This window comes from Homo sapiens, chromosome 5 (assembly GCF_000001405.40).
Source record: "Homo sapiens chromosome 5, GRCh38.p14 Primary Assembly".
Classification (NCBI taxonomy): Eukaryota; Metazoa; Chordata; class Mammalia; order Primates; family Hominidae; genus Homo; species Homo sapiens.
Window position 1 is genome coordinate 176,899,678 of NC_000005.10, and position 16,394 is coordinate 176,916,071.

A 16,394-nucleotide genomic window follows, 5' to 3' on the forward strand; every position below is an offset into this window, starting at 1 on the left:
AAGAGGCAATGTGGGAGCACAAGCGGAAGGGACTGACTCTGCCGAGAGTGGGCAGGGCTAGCTGAAGAAGCTGAGTCTTGAAGAAAGAACAGCAGTATGCTGACAAAAGTGGTCCTTGACAAAGTGGAGAGCATGTGCACAACCACAAATCACACACACACAGCAATGAGGTGCAGCTCCAGGCGCCTGAAGAGGGTACACCAAGGTAGGAATATATAGTGGGAGAGGAGGTGACAGGCAGACTGCGGAGTCTAGCCTTTAGTCTGTAGCCTGCGCAGGGAGAGTAGGTTCACATCTTAGGTCTTCTCTACTGGAAGAAGGGGAGTGTTAGGCTGCTGTGGAGCTATTGGCGAACAAGCTGTTTTTCTGTGGGAATTTCTCCTCAAAGGCACAGAACCTTGGGGCACCAATGTAGAATACTAGACAGCCTGCAACAATCTTTGTTGAAGGCATGGATACACTTTAAAGCTTCAGGCTGCCTTGTCAGCAGTAACTCTATCCACAGATAGTAGGCCTCCACATGACATCAGGATGGAGACCAGAGATAGTGGCTCCTCTATCAGTAGTGGCATGAAGAGGCCAGGAAACATGCCAAACATCAGTCCTGCTGTGAAGTTTACTGGGTACCAACCAGGCATATAGGCTGTGAAAGGCAGGGAAGTGGGGGATGGGGTGGCAGAGGGTAGAGTGGCTGTCACAAACAACACAGCATCCTGCCTAGCCTGGGATCCCAGTCCCTTTCAACTTTGTTCAGTTGGGAGAGGAGAATGTGGAACTGACTATGAAAGGCCCAGCTGTGATTCATGCAGATAGCCTGCCATTTCTTGAGCCAGGGTGAGGATATGCCCCTGACAAGCATGGCCAGGGCTCTTCATCTGCGTTTCTGGAAGGTCTGTGTCCAGACCCCAGGAGCAGGGGTCCTGGTTCCCTAGTCAGAATGCCAGGGAAAGTCTGGGTCAAGGCCAGTGGAGGGAGAAGGATGGCTGAGCTTGAGGTCTGTGAGCAGCTGGGACAGCCTGGCTGTAGCAGAGGCACTGCAGCTGCCAGCGGTTCTCTTCAGACACCAGATGGCCACTGACCAACAAAGGGAAGGACAAGTCCTCACGAGGTTCCCTCATAGCCCCTTAGTGCCAATCTCCAACTGTAGAGATGGAGCTAAGGAATGAGGAAAGGCAGTTTGCTGGGGGAGAGGTGGGCACAACCAGAGCACTGCCGATGGGCTGGGAGGTCAGGCCTTCCCTCTGCGCTTGCTCACAGGCTTCTCACCACTCACAGTGCCCATGCCAGGCACAGAGATCCTCAATAAGCTCCCCCAATTTGTTCCACACCCTTTATACCGTGAATGTGCCTTGCAGCTCTCCTACACACATCGAGCTACTTCTGTTGTGTCTTTGTTTGCACTGACTTGTCTGGAATGACCCTCCCTTTGGCCTCTCCCACCTTTTCACCTCATTTTTCCTCATCCCTTAAATTATAATCATCAACGACAATGAGGAGCCCTTCTCTGAAAAGCTCCTCCTGGCCGACCCCAGCTGAGTGTGGTCTGCTTATTGGTTCCGTATTATGATGCATGTTCTTGTATCACTGCATTTATATCTGTTTATTAAAGGCATCTGTTTATGTGTTCTTCTTCCCCATTGTACTATGGGCTCCCAGAGAATGTTTCTTATTCACCCGTGCAGCCTCAGACCTCAGTTCTTTATCTGGCAAGGAACAAGTATCAATTAATTTTTGTTAAATTGAAGAGCCCTCCCACAATCTCAATAGTCCACGGCTGGCCAAGCATGATGGCTCACGCCTGTAATCCCAACACTTTGGGAAGCCGAGGTGGACGGATCACTTGAGGTCAGGAATTCATGATCAGCCTGGCCAATACAGTGAAACCCCGTCTCTACTAAAAATTAAAAAAATTAGCCGGGCGTGGTGGTGTGCACCTGTAATCCCAGCTACTCGGGAGGCTGAGGCAAGAGAATTGCTCGAACCTGGGAGGCAGGGTAAGTTGCAGTGAGCCGAGATCACGCCACTGTACTCCAGCCTGGGTGACAGAGCAAGACTGTCTCAAAAAAAAAAAAAAAAAAAAAAAAAGTCCAGGGCTTTTGAAACTGAGAGGAAGCAAGCAAGCTCTTACTGTCTTCCTGGTGCATATGGTTTCAGCAGTCTTTCCACTAGTCCATCTTTCCACTGACAACTACAACCCTCTCATCCACTTACTACCTGCCTTCCCCTCCCCAAATTCCCATCTGCTAACAACCTAAGGCCAAAGCTACCCTGATTCACAGGCAAAAATGAGCTCATCCAAACCTGAAATTTCCCTTGAGTCATTAGTTTTGTGACTGAAATGAGAAGTAGGAAGTAGTGTGCTATAGTACAGAAAGCTTCAGCTCTGGGGTCAGGCAGACCTGGTTTCAAAATCCCATCTCATTACCAACTGAAAGACCTTAGACAAATTTCTTATTCCTCTGAGCCTCGGTTTTCCTTGTATAAAACTTGGAGACTGATGTCTTCATAGGATTTGCTTTAGGTTAGGTAAACCCAGAGGCAGACCTAATTTGAATGCAAATAACTTTATTTGGGAAGTGATCCAGGACAGGGCCAGAATCAGGGCAATGCAAATGATATGCCTAGGGTACAGAATGTAAAGAGACCCTCTCAGGTTCATACGGGTGCCAACCTTGCACTTAGATGAACCCAAGAATAAAGGCTCATCACCCTAGTCCCAGTCCTGATCAGGAAAATACAGAAGAGGAGCTGGAAGCCAGGTAGGAAGAGAAAGAAGCCAAGGAAGTGTACGTTAATTGTTACTGGGAGCTTAGAGAGGTTCACTCCCACAGGGAACCCTGAGAAATAGGTAGAATGTGCCTTAGAGTTGTCCCTCACTGAGTGAGGAAGCTGGGGTATCTATCCTCCCACTTCCACTGGCTGAGAGCTGTCCCAGGGGCACTAACTCCCTGGTACTCTCAGCTTGTGCCAACACAAACCAAGAGAAGTCCTCAGGCAGAGTCTCAGGTACTTGCAACAGGACTCTGTGGGTATACAGCAGAATGGCGAATGCCTGGGGGAAATGGGCGAGGCACAACCTCTGCTGGGGCTGCTGTAAGGACTAAATGAAAAAGCACAACTACAGCGCCTAACAAAGAGAAGTCCCCCTCTATCTCTTCCAATTTACGGCAATAGCTTGTGAAGTTTATGGAGCTTCCCAGCTCTCCGTGAGTTGGCAGCATCAGCAGAACAGCTATTTCTCATCTTTCAGAAGTAAAAGAAATCCAGGGGCCCTAGGAGAACTCTAGATGCCTGGGACCCAAGTTTCCTGTGGAAGCCTGATGGTTGATGGAGCCCGAGTAGTCCCTCCTGAGTACACATTCCTCTGAAAACTATCTCCTCTTGCATCTGCACCCGTCCCCCATCCCTCCACCCCTCAGTGCAACATCATTTGTGACACATAGACTAGCATCACATTAATAACTGCTGCCACTAACTCATTCTTCTATGTGATGACATTGTGCTGGATCAAAGCTTTATCCACATTATGGTAATCCTTAGAACCCTGTTAGTATGATCTTTTCCCATTTTATGGACAAGAAAGCCAGGTCTCAGAGAGGTTAACTTTTATCAGAAGCAGGGTGCAGATGTAGGCTGATCTCACACATTTTATACTTTGTCTCTTCACTCTTTCACTAATGCTCCTCTCACAGGATCACAGCATGGGGAGAATAAGACTGTGGGCAAACAAGACGGTTGTGAGGAGGCGATGGGGGAAGTGGGTAGCTGTTCTTCCCTTGACTCCCCATTAGCTAATAATTAAGCCTGTGGTTCCTGGTCTGGCTGATCCATACCCTCCTGCTGCTGACTCATGTTTTAGGGAAACTGCTCAATTTTAAGCTAAATAATTCACTTTCCAGAAGTACCCTTTCCCTTTTCTTATCTTCAGGCAAACAGATACACACACTGTCCCCTGTTTATACAGCGCTACCTCCAATAAATTGCCATTTAATGAAAGAGAAAACAAGCGAGAGTTAAGCTTATGGGACATAACTGATAAACTACTTTTCACTAGAAGAAAAACAGGAAAATAATCAATACTGGAGTCAAAATATAGCATTTTCTTCAGGAATGAAGAGTAGGGGCACTGTGGTTCCACTGCCATGGACAAAAAGTGGCTTATTTGTTACTCTAAGCCTTTGCTTCCTCATCTGGAAATTGAGATGATAATACCTATACCCCATAGGGTTGCTATGAGGATTAAATGAAGGCCACATACATTGCCTGGACCGTAGTAGTTGCTCAAAAAATAACAGCTATTTCTTATGTGCTGCTAGCCACTAGGTCAGTGCCATCCAACAGCAAGACATTATCTATGGAAGGAAAAGACAGTGAGACTGCCATCTTGCCTTCTTCTAACTCAAAAGGTTGTGTGCAAAGGGACCTAGGCAGGAACAAGGCCTTAATGTTTGTGCTGTCTTCCATCCCAGCTATCTGCTAACTCCCCAGTCTAACACATACCTCGTTTTCATGTTAAAAGAAAAGATAACTTTGGACAAAATCAGAAGTTAGGAGAGTCTTGAGTGTGCCTGTTTATCCTGTCCCAAGATCCTTTCCTGGTCAACAGCCACCTCCCCCAGTTTTTCATTACAACTTCAAATCAGTTTTGGCCAAAACTAGCATTCTTCACATCCTTGTTTGGTCATCTCCTTCAGGTAGCTCCTTCTGCCAATTGACATCCTCTCATCTTCAGAGTCTGCACATGGCATGCACCGAGAACAGACCACATCTCTGTTCTGCACTGGAAGCTCCTAGGCAACACGGTGAGGAATGTGCGCTATGTTAGTAATGTTACCAAAACAGAAGCCATGTCCTGTTGCTGCTAACCTTTGGCATCAAGAGACCCAATCTTGATTTGAACAGATGAATATGCCTGGCATCCCCACTGGTTAATCTATTTAGAAAAAATAATTGCATAGGCATCTAATAACAGAGTGTTCACTTGCACATTCCTGGGAAGAATGGCAGGACACATCCTTCAAATGTTCTATGCTCAGGCTGAGAATTCCACTGTGTGAGTACAAGATGAAGGGACAGGTCACTGAATGGTAGGGATAGCAGAATAGGTAGTGGGAGTCAATGCCCCTGGCACCTCCCAGAATTATGTCAGAAACAGTCAAGGGAGTAACCAATGTTCGGAATTGTGCAGTACACATTAAGTGAATATATACATGGTATGTCAAGGATCAGTAATGGCATTCATTCAGCATGTGATTTATGAGTCTAATAAACTACCTCTACAATGAAAGTATCCCCACCCCAAACCCTGCAACATGAAGGAAAAAAAAATTAAAATTTCCATCTATTGAAATAAGATTTCGTACAAACATAAATATATTTAAATTTTTTAACTGTAAGTAAATTCAAACAAACTGTTATAAAACAGAATACACAGTTGTCTGCATAGATCATAAAAAACATAAAAACCAGAATGCTGGGTAGGTGCTGGTGGTGAAAACTGCAGGGCTAAAACTTGCTCAACAATGAACTAGGGACCACTATGGCTTAATGAACATGGCCCACCCCTCCTACTAATGGTTTTGTCAACTTTTGGACCCTAGAAATTCAGAATTTTCTCCTTCTTCCTCTGCCAGCTTTGGTCCGTGTCCGACTACCTGGCTGGACAGTAACTTGCTTTTTAAAGTCCACTAAGCAATCTGTGGCTTCTGAAATGGAAACAAAAGACTTGACGGGAGATTCATTTAAGTCACGACGTGTGAAAGAACTCTGCATCTCTCTGCTGCAGCCTGCCTCTTCCATCCCTGGTGAAGGCACCCTAGAGAGAAGGAAAAAAATTCAGATTCAATATACACCTACTAAGCATCAAGGACATGCTATGCACTGTATCAGGGGATTTTACATATCAGGGGATTATTAGTACAAATAATCTTTGTAATAATCCCACCACATATCATCACTCTGTTTTCACAGATGAGGTCACTGGGTAAATCATATACTACTTAAAGCTGGCCATTGAGAGAATGAGAACTGAGATCCAAATTCCCAAGCTGCTTGAGAATCCAGGTCAGAAAACCAGGGTTGGATGGGGATAGAGAGGTACAGAAGAATAAGACATAACTTTCACTCTGTTTGTTTTAACACAATGAATGAATTGAGTTATCCAATCTTTAGCTAAATGGGGAGCACAGAGTCATACTGAGAGAGAGGTCATAATAGTTCCACAGTGATTTCTACTGCAACAGTCTGAGTATCACACTACACACAGAACACAGGACAAGGCCTGCACTTTTCAGAAATGCTGACAGCCACAATTCAGTGCACAATCCAATTCACCTGAAGGCTCCTGTTTCTGAAGACTTGATGTCTGCATCTGTGATATAAAAGAAAAAATAATAATGTTGGTAGTAGTGTTGGTAATCATAGCACTTCTCACTGATCTTTTGCTTCCGTGCTCTAGGCACTGCTTCTCATCAGGCCTATCCAGGTAGCACAGATCCCCAATCCCCTAAACCCACAGACGGTGAGCATTAGTGTCCAACAGACTCAGCTGCAGGGGCACTCAGATGAACACTTTTGAATGAACAACCTCTGAATAAATCTACTTCAATTCTGGACTTGAGGAACAAGGAAGTTGCCAAGGGAAATCTGCCACCTGCAGAGATTCACAAACTGGTGATCTAGAGACAGCAGGATATGAGGCTGGGAGAGGCTGCCTTTTTATAGTCATCAGAAGGCACAACAGATTTGCTTGGTGGGAATGAACTATTAGAACTAGATGGTAAGCACATCTCACCAGGCTTAAGCAAAAGCTCCTCTTCCATCCACATCTGGTGAATTTTAACAATAGCGACTAATAACAACAGTAATAATAGCAGCTAACATTTATCAAGAGCCTACTTATGCCAGGGAATATGTTTGGAGCTTTACCAGATACAATTCTTGCAATCTATGAGGTTTGGCATTACTAACTCCCTGCAATGGTCTTAACCAATCCACTCTACTGCTCCCTAAATACTACGCACAAACGCTCAGGATCACAGGTTGCGACACTAAGATAAAGGTAACATATGAATGATGCACAAAACAATAGAAGGAAGCAATAATGTCTGCACATCTAGTTTACTGTGCCTGTTCCTTTAGAAGGTATACTTGGGGCTTGTCGTATTCCCCTGTGTTTTGATAGTGTTTTTTCTGAGTTCAACAGGCTGTCCTGATCCAAGGATTTATAAAGCCTGAAATGAAACACAGGATGAAAAAGACAGCATATTGCCCCAACTTCCTTAAGGAGAGATGACCTAGATTGAGTCTCAAAGGCTGGCTGACTGGATCACGTGTGTACCCAGATAACCACAGCAAATAGTCAGGGGGCTGGCAATGGCTATCTTCACTGAAAGGCCTTAGGCAGAAGCCCAGAAAACTGGTCCTGGGGTCCTCACCTGAAGTCTTGTGCTCAGACTGTTCCAAGAAACTAAGGAGTCGGCCTTCACTGTGGCCTTTTTCCTGTAACAGAGAAAAACAGATGAAAAGGTTACTTCATGTCAGAGTCTAAAATACAACTTCCACAGCCCAGATCACACGTGTTCATAGAAGAGAAAAGGTGTGGGGGCCACAGCTCTAGGGAAGTCTTTTGCTTTCTAATAAACGAGGGTTTCACAAGTGAAAAAGCAAACTATAATGAAGAGAATACATCGCTATGCCCAGAGTATCATGGATTTAAAATAGAAAATAAATTTTAAGGTAGTGTCTACAGGCAGTGATCCCAGAATAAACTGGCTGTATAAGTAAGTGCTTACCTATAAACCATAACTCCAAATCTCCGCCTCAAAATCACCCCATTCACAGAGAGGGGTCTCTTTCTTCTGGCATGACAGACAATGGCTTCCCCATTTTAGTGTGTACAGTGACTCCTTTGTCGGTAACCCTAGAATATGGAGCTGCTGCTTTATCTTTCATCTCTAAGCCAAGACTTGCTCTTCCTGATCTCTAATTACAAGGCCCCAAAAGTACATCCATCCTTCCCAGTGACCAGGGCCCAGACCTGGCAGCTTCCTAAGGAGTTCGACAGAGTTGATCTCACATATATTCTTGGCAGTGGGATTATAAATTGGATATCCTTTCCGGAAAGCAATTTGGCAGGTTTCGAGACACTTTAAAATTTGTACATCCACTGACCTAATAGTTCCGTATCAGAAAATGTATTCTAAGGAAATAATCAGTGGTACAAAGACTGATTAATGTTTTAAATACAATCTTGTAACACAAAAGAACCAAAATGTCCAATAATAGGTGTATGGTTAAATGACCATCTGTGTGATATAAACATTAATAGTAATTTTTAAAAATAAAACCCAAAATGATGTTTACACTACATCTTAAGTTTTCATAAATGCAAGTGAGAAAACTACATATCGAGTACTACACAGAATATAGTATACACATAGTACTAGATATATAGTATGTTGTGTGTGTGCTTATTGCATATATATTGAGAGAGAGAAGGGGGGAGAGGGAGAATAGTGTTAATTACATTAACAATGCATAGAAAAAAAGACTGGAAGAAAATAGGCCAATACATTAAAGGTTATCATCTTTGAGTAGCTAAATTATAGGTGATGATTTCCCCTGATTATTTATATTTTTTTGAACTTTCCATATTCTCTACAATGAACATGTATTACTTTTTAAATTAAAAGGAAAAATAATTTTAAAAAGCACAAATCTTGTTTCAAGATAAATAGAGGGAAGAGGGGAGGGAGAAGAGGGAAAAGCCAGAACAGAACTGTGGCCTCTTACAACTGACAACCAGGAGGGTTAGGTGGCCTTTCCCAAAACACTCTACACATACCTTTGGGTTCTTCAGCCTCTGCTGCCACTTCCCCTCCACAGTTGAACATGCTCTTCCACTCCCTTCAGGTCCATCTCCTTGGTCAGCCTTTGCAAGCTGGAGACAGGAGTCCACATGACACTGATACTCTCTAAATGGGACCAGGGATTTACAGAGGTAACACTTCTCATTCCTATCCAATAAGAAAAAAGGAAGAAAACACAGTTTTAAGATGTGCTTTTGCCTCTGGGCCCCTGGATATGTCTCAAATTGTGTTTTTACGTCGCAAAGTTATTCTATGGAGGAGACATATCAACCAATGCAGATTCACTCAGCAGGATCACCAATAAAACTAATCCAACGCCAATCAAAAGGACTGAGTGATTAGCAGTTTTCCCTGGCTGTTTCTCTGTACCCTGCTGTTGCAGCAGTGGGATGGTAATGAAATCAGCTCTTCAAACTATCTCAAACAATGCTGATTGCTCTTCAGACATAAAATATTCTGTCGAACTCTTCCAAAATTAAGTGTAATAGTTTTTTTCAAAGAGAAGTTAAAATTTCAACAGAAAAGGGAGCACCAAGAGCATTAAATTAAGTTGACATTTTTACCAGGGTGGATGAACTTGTCTGATTAGCAAATCAAGTCTGTCTATATGCTGACTTCCTTAATTCTACAATCTGCAACATCAACTAAGAAGTTACTAAAAGCCATGTGGTTCTGCCAGAGGCTTTTGCGTAATTTTATATGCATAGCTATCTTTACCTTTTTTAAAAGAGCAGAGTTTGGGTAAAGAGAGGAAAAGTAGGTCCTTGAGGTAAAGTGTATTGGGCATCAGTAAAAATGGAATCACTGGGGGTAAAAGAAAAAAATGAGTATTTATTAAGTATTTTCTCTGTGGTGAGAACCTCTGCAAGGCCCTTTAATCACAATTCTCAATTAATTATTCAGCTCCATTAGGAAGGAACTAGTCTAACTATGGTCTTATAGGTAATAATTGTCAGAAACTAGATTTGCCTGACTCATAAGATCACCTTGGTTTTAAGAAGCTAAAAAAATTTTCCAAAGCATGCTATCTTGGACATCTCTTTCTGGCCATTATTATTCAGTAACTACAGCAAGGGAGACTTGGATTAGCTATAAGGAAGACTTTTTCTGAAGATGTTTAAAATAGCAGAAATAAGTCTCTCAAATACTTAATTATCCAGAAGAATGCAAGCAAAATGCTGCCTTAAGAGAAAAGCTAGACTAGTATACCTTTCAAGGTTTATCAATTAATGCAAAAAACATTAATTCCCTACTACATGAGAGACAGAAGTACTGCATAAGAGGCAGGAGTTTCAGAGTTGGACAGACTTTATCACTTCTAGCTGCAGTGATCTTAACCAGTTACATAAAATTTCTCTTTAGTTTCCTTACTTAAAAAACGAAAGAATAACTACCTTAAATCAACTACAGTGAGACTTACAAACAAGGCACCTAGCACAATGACTGGCACATAATATTAGGCACTAAACAAACAGCTATTATTGCTGTCTCAGATACATTTTATTAGAAGCTGGGGATATAAACATGAACTAAGGCAAGTATCTCTCTCAAAAAACTCAGACTAACCAGGAATACAGAAATATTCTTTTTTAAAACCAAATTACTGCAATACAATGTGAGGAATTCCTAGACGAATGTCTACATTACAGTAAGATTCCAAAGGGATCAGCTCTGCTCAACTAAATTAGGGAAGACAGCCCTGAAACTCAGGGTCTAAGATCTGTGTTTCAAAGATAAAAGTTTCTGCTTAGTAACTGCTCTAATCTACTGTTGGTAATGACATTACTTTCAGGAGGAAGCACCTTTGTGCTATCTTTGATGTCCAAGATAGCATGCTTTGGAAAATTTTTTTTAGCTTCTTAAAACCAAGGGGATCTTATGAGTCAGGCAAATCTAGTTTCTGACAATTATTACCTATAAGACCATAGTTAGACTAGTTCCTTCCTAATGGGGCTGAATAATTAATTGAGAATTGTGATTCTGACCCCTTCCTCAGAATGAGCTTTCTCAGTCAAGCTGCAACACACAACCAAAAAGTCTTCTATATTGCCCAACCTTTTGCAATTCAACTTCTGTACTATTATACAAAATGCTCAATGCTTCCCAAAGAGCACCAAATACCAATAAGCAAATTAAAGAAAACAGAAACCTAAGAGCAATGCAGAAGTGGAGTGGGTGGCAGGATTGCTTTTAGTGTATTAAAAAGGGATACAGAGGCCACCTACACTGACAGAGACTAGGAATAAGAAAAAGAAATTCAGGGCTGGGCACAGTGGCTCACGCCTGTAATCCCAGCACTTTGGGAGGCCGAGGCAGGCCAATCACCTGAGGTCAGGAGTTCGAGACAGCCTGACCAACATGGAGAAACCCCGCCTCTACTAAAAATACAAAATTAGCCGGGCGTGGTGGCGCATGCCTGTAATCCCAGCTACTTGGGAGGCTGAGACAGGAGAATCGCTTGAACCCAGGAGGCGGAGGTTATGGTGAGCTGAGATTACGCCATTGCACTCCAGCCTGGGCAAGAAGAGTGAAACTTCATCTCAAAAAAAAAAAAGAGAGAGAGAGAAGAAAAGAAAAGAAAAGAAAAGAAAAGAAAAGAAAAGAAAAGAAAAGAAAAGAAAAGAAAAGAAAATTCAGGCATCCAAGCAATGAAGCAATTGGCAGGCCAAAGAAATACAGGGTAAGATAGGAATTGGTCTTTTTATTCAGTCCAAACGATGGTATGTTATACAAGAGCTCCGTGAATGCAGCATACCTACTTACTTGTCAATGTCTAGAGAAGTCTGGGCAGCTGTCCCACTGTCACTCTTGGTCTTGGCCTCTTTTTGTCTCCGAGTCAATACTTTTAATATAAAAAATATATATATATACACATAGTTAGCTGCCAGTAGACTCTGAATATAAAAGACAAAATGCACAGGAAGAAGCAAAGTTTAAAACCTTATCCCACTGGAAGAAGTGCATTGTTTGGGAAGTCTCAATCTTTCTAGAATTGAGAATAGCGATTGTAACATTTGCACCAAAACAAATGTTTTGACAATATTCTGTCCGCCACAAGATATTCCGCTGTATGCTAAGCCATGAGATCTAAAGATCTACTCCACACCAAGAAAAGGTTTTTGTGTACTATCCCAGCTTGCAGCACTCAAGGGAGGGATTTACACTTTCCCAAGCAAAATTCTATCTGGTATGACACACACTCAAGTGAGGTCCTCTATGAAATATAGTAATGATAGCCATCCGAGTGCCTACATGAGCTCCAATCTTTACAAAACTCTGAAAAGTTCTGCAGTGAGAAAACTGTGGCTCAGAACAGTTAATACAACCAGTCTTTCCTCACTACACTAATACCACCTCCCAATTCTAGTGGGTATAAATGGCTTTAGCCCAAATGATACACAAATACATTGTCTCTCACACCAAAAGACATCTGTTTATAAAATAGTCTCTTAAAGGATCTTGGAGGTTATTTAATCAAGTGTTTTCCAGCTCATTCCTTGCATAACAAGAAAAACTACAACAATTTCACTTCAAACTCTGCCTTCTTTCCTCCTAACACCTGAAATCCCCACAACAGATAATTTAGCAGGGTTACGAGTAACTTAGGTTGTGAAGCATTTATCTAGTCCAGGGGTCAGCAAACTTTATCTGTGGAGACAGAGAGTAAATATTTTAGTCTTGGTAGGACATATGGTCTCTGTCACAACTACTCAACTCTGCACTGTTAGCAGGAAAGCAGTCACAGGCTATACATAAACAAATGAGTATGTTCCAATAAAACTTTATCTACAATAACAGGTATCTGGTTAGATTTGACCCATGGCTGGCCACCGTTTGCCTAACCTTCTAGATCAACCTCCTACTCATATGAAAATGCCTTCTATAAACATCCCTGACAAGTAATGATACAGTCTTGACTGTTTTTTGTTTTTTTTTTTTTTTGAGACATAGTCTCACTCTTCTTGCTCAGGCTGGAGTGCAATGGAGCAATCTCAGCTCACTGCAACCTCTGCCTCCCGAGTTCAAGTGATTCTCCTGCCTCAGCCTCCCGAGTAGTTAGGACTACAGGTATGTCCCACCATGCCTGGCTAATTTTTTATATTTGTATTTTTAAATTTTTATTTATTTTTTTTTTTGAGATGGAGTCTCGCTCTGTCACGCAGGCTGGAATGCAATGGCACAATCTCGGCTCACTGCAACCTCCGCCTCCCGAGTTCAAGTGATTCTTCTGCCTCAGCCTCCTGAGTAGCTGGGATTTACAGGCGCCCGCCACGACGCCCAGCTAATTTTTTGTATTTTTATTAGAGACGGGGTTTCACAATGTTAGCCAGGCTGGTCTCAAACTCCTGACCTCAGGTGATCCACGTGCCTTAGCCTCCCAAAGTGCTGGGATTACAGGCGTGAGCCACTGCGCCCGGCCAACTTGGCTGTATCTTTTCACTGAGGGAAATTCACTTCCCCCTAGGGAAATCCATTCTAATTGCAATCTGCCTCAATCTGCATTTACTGGGGACTATATGAATACATTTACCCACCTTTCCACAAGTCACCTCTTTGAACACTTAACAAGCTGCATTACAACATCTTGGATTTACTCAGTTTTCTGCCCCACTAAAATGCAACCATCATCAAAGGAAGAACTATACCTAGTTACTATGGCTATTCTATTAAGATTTGGATTGACAAATCTTCGAGTGCCTAGGTTAGCTCTAATCCTTATGATGACCCTCCAGATTGGTATTATTACTTTTCCCCAGTTTTAATGGTATGGAAATAAACTAAGAGGAATTGACTTCACCATGCTATCAAAACTACTAAATAGTAAAACCCAGGATAGAATCTAGATCTGATTCCTATACTTATGTTTTACCTTCCTAATTAACCTCTTTTAGATATACAATCCAATTTGTCAGTTTTCCTTAATATGTGTAGCACCCCAAACAGAATCCAATATTCAACAAACAATCCAACTAGTAAAAAGAACAGAAGAACCATGGGCTACCCCATGTGGACTCATACTCTACTGATTCAGTCAAGGCTGTGTTTGCTTTATTGACAATCCTGGTATACTACTGGCTCAAACTGAACTTAAAGGAAATTAAGATCCATCCCCTACCCTCCCAAATTATCTTCAAATAAAATGTTATCACTGGGTGCAGCGGCTCACGCCTGTAATCCCAACACTTTAGGAGGCTGAGGCGGGCAGATCACTTGAGACCAGGAGTTCGAGAACAGCCTGGGCAACAGGGTGAAACCCCCGTCTCTACAAAAAATATAAAAGTTAGCCAGCATGGTGGTGCTTGCCTGTAGTCCCAGCTACTCAGGAAGCTGAGGTGGGAGGATCGCCTGAGCCAGGAGGGTTGAGGCTGCAGTGAGCTGAGATAGCACCACTGCACTCTAGCCTAGGTGACAGAGCTAGATCGTCTCAAAAAATTAATACCATACCATACCATACCATAGCATACCATACCATACACCATACCATACCATACACCATACCATACCATACCATACCATACCATACCACACCACACCACACCATACCATACCATACAATGTTACCAAGACAAGTCTCTTAATTCTGTACTTTGGTAACTAAGTTGCTGGGTATTTTTTTTTTCTCCCCTTAAATGCAGGATTTTGTATTTGTTCCTGTTCTTTTCAGCTGAACACTCCTATTTGTTGAGATCATCTGCAGTCTTAACTGTCATCTGATGTTATTAGCTCTCCTTCTCAGCTATGTGTCCTCTGCATATATGACAACCATACTTTCTACATCTTTATCCAAGTCACTAGGGAAAAATGGTTGTAAAGGATATGGCCAAGGACAAAACTGTGACATGTTACCAGAGAAGCCTGTCTTCTCTCTGGTCCAACTTTCCTTTAAATAATTAAGCAAACACTTATTGACAATCTTCAATGTGCAAGTAATTTGGGGAGATATAGGAAATTATGAGGCACTGTCCTTGCTCTTAAGGAGAGTGCAGTTTACTAATGGAGACAGCATACACACTCAAATAACTACAACCCAAGGTGTAAAGAGATATGCGTAATAAAACAAGATCACACACAAGCAACTAGTAATAGTGTTTGCCTCTGCGGAGGATGACAGGAATACTTGAAGACTGGAAGAGGAAGGAGGCATACTTTTCATGGTATACTTTTCTGTAAATCAAATTAAAAACTAGAAGCGGGGAATCAGATTATATAGTCAGGCACAGATTAAATGATCTAAGGTTCCTTCCAATGCAGAGATTTTATAAGTAAAATTAAAGTACTGCAGGAGAAAAACATCCAGGACAGAACCAGCCTCAAATCCACCTCCTATTCTATCAACCAGCCCATACTTCTCTATCTTATGTACGAGGACTTCATGAGAGATTTTATCAAGTGCCTTGCTAAAATCCATTCTTAAAAGGCTGGCACCTCAAAGATTACAGAATCCTTTAGGAGTTCTATTTTTTATTTTTCTTTCTCTACTTGTCCCCCATCTTGACTATCACGTATTTTTCCAAAAGAAATACTTGGAAACCACTCCACAGATAGGGATGGAAAAAGAATTAATTGATTCTAGTACTGTCCATATACCACTACTGCATTTACCACATTTCTGTTCCTATTCACTTATATGTCAGTCTTCCTTCTACACCATGCAACTTTCTGAATTCAGAGACTCTGGGTTTTATTTTGTTTCTTTTTTTTTTTTTTTCTCTTCAGCATCCTCAGCAGAGTCTAGGACAGATTAAATGCTAATAAATACTTGCTGAATTAAACTGTATCAATAGATTCCAGGGGAAAAAAGAGCTCTTGTTTTATGAGGACCTATTTTGTGCCAGAGACTTTATAAACATCTTTATCTTTACAACAACCCTACAAAGAATATATCATTATTTCTATTTTACAGTAAATAATTTTTTTTTTTTTTGAGACACAGTCTCACTCTTATCACCCAGGCTGGAGTGCAGTGGTGTGGTATCGGCTCACAGCAACCTCTGCCTCCCAGGTTCAAGCAATTCTCCTGCCTCAGCCCCCTGAGTAGCTGGGATTACAGGCGCCTGCCACCACACCTGGCTAATTTTTGTATTTTTAGTAGAGATGGGGTTTCACCATCTTGGGCAGGCTGGTCTTGAACTCCTGACCTTGTGATCCACCCACCGCAGCCTCCCAAAGTGCTGGGATTACAGGCGTGAGCCACTGCGCCTGACTGTAAATGAAGTATTAAGTAACCTGATCAAGGTCACAAAGCAAAAAAAAAAAAAAAAAAAAAGCAAAAAGCACAAGGAATGCAATACAAATCTGACTTTACAGAAGCATATGTTCTTCTACAAGAGCAGGCTGCCTCTCCTGGAAAATAAGAAGCTAAAGAATGGGAAGAGAAAAAGTGGTAAGTGGTAAATAAGTGGGCAGGTAGAAGAAAATTTGAAGGGAGAGACTTGATATTGATAGATGGTTAGGACTATACGGTAATTCTATTAAATGTTATGATCACAATGGACTGGACTGGGGCTTGCCGCTGTTTTTCCT

General features: G+C 42.1%; 1 protein-coding gene across 15 annotated transcripts in view, besides 1 other annotated feature; it reads right to left on the minus strand.

Annotated features, from left to right (window-relative positions):
• Positions 489 to 990: an enhancer, noted in NCBI's record as "H3K27ac hESC enhancer chr5:176327167-176327668 (GRCh37/hg19 assembly coordinates)". NCBI's record gives its function as "activates a minimal SCP1, AML or CMV promoter by ChIP-STARR-seq in primed H9 embryonic stem cells {active_cell/tissue: H9 hESC(primed)}" and the evidence as "EXISTENCE:reporter gene assay evidence [ECO:0000049][PMID:30033119]".
• UIMC1 (ubiquitin interaction motif containing 1) overlaps positions 5,328 to 16,394 on the minus strand; it is a 117,598-nt gene continuing 106,531 nt past the window's right edge. For 12 of the 15 annotated variants that reach the window (NR_146149.1, XM_017009577.2, XM_006714871.3 and 9 more), the window contains 5 exons: positions 11,634 to 11,712; positions 8,846 to 9,017; positions 7,437 to 7,500; positions 6,334 to 6,370; positions 5,328 to 5,815 (listed from right to left, as the gene is read on the minus strand). Coding sequence is in view for 13 of the 15 variants with exons in the window: in XM_017009577.2 (XP_016865066.1) it covers positions 5,605 to 5,815; positions 6,334 to 6,370; positions 7,437 to 7,500; positions 8,846 to 9,017; positions 11,634 to 11,712 (563 nt within the window). In the remaining 2 variants the exon portion in view is untranslated. Of the gene's footprint in view, positions 5,816 to 6,333; positions 6,371 to 7,436; positions 7,501 to 8,845; positions 9,018 to 11,625; positions 11,713 to 11,732; positions 11,765 to 16,394 lie in introns of those variants that run through there. The other 3 variants (NR_146150.1, NM_001199298.2, XM_011534570.2) reach the window with 3 other exon arrangements.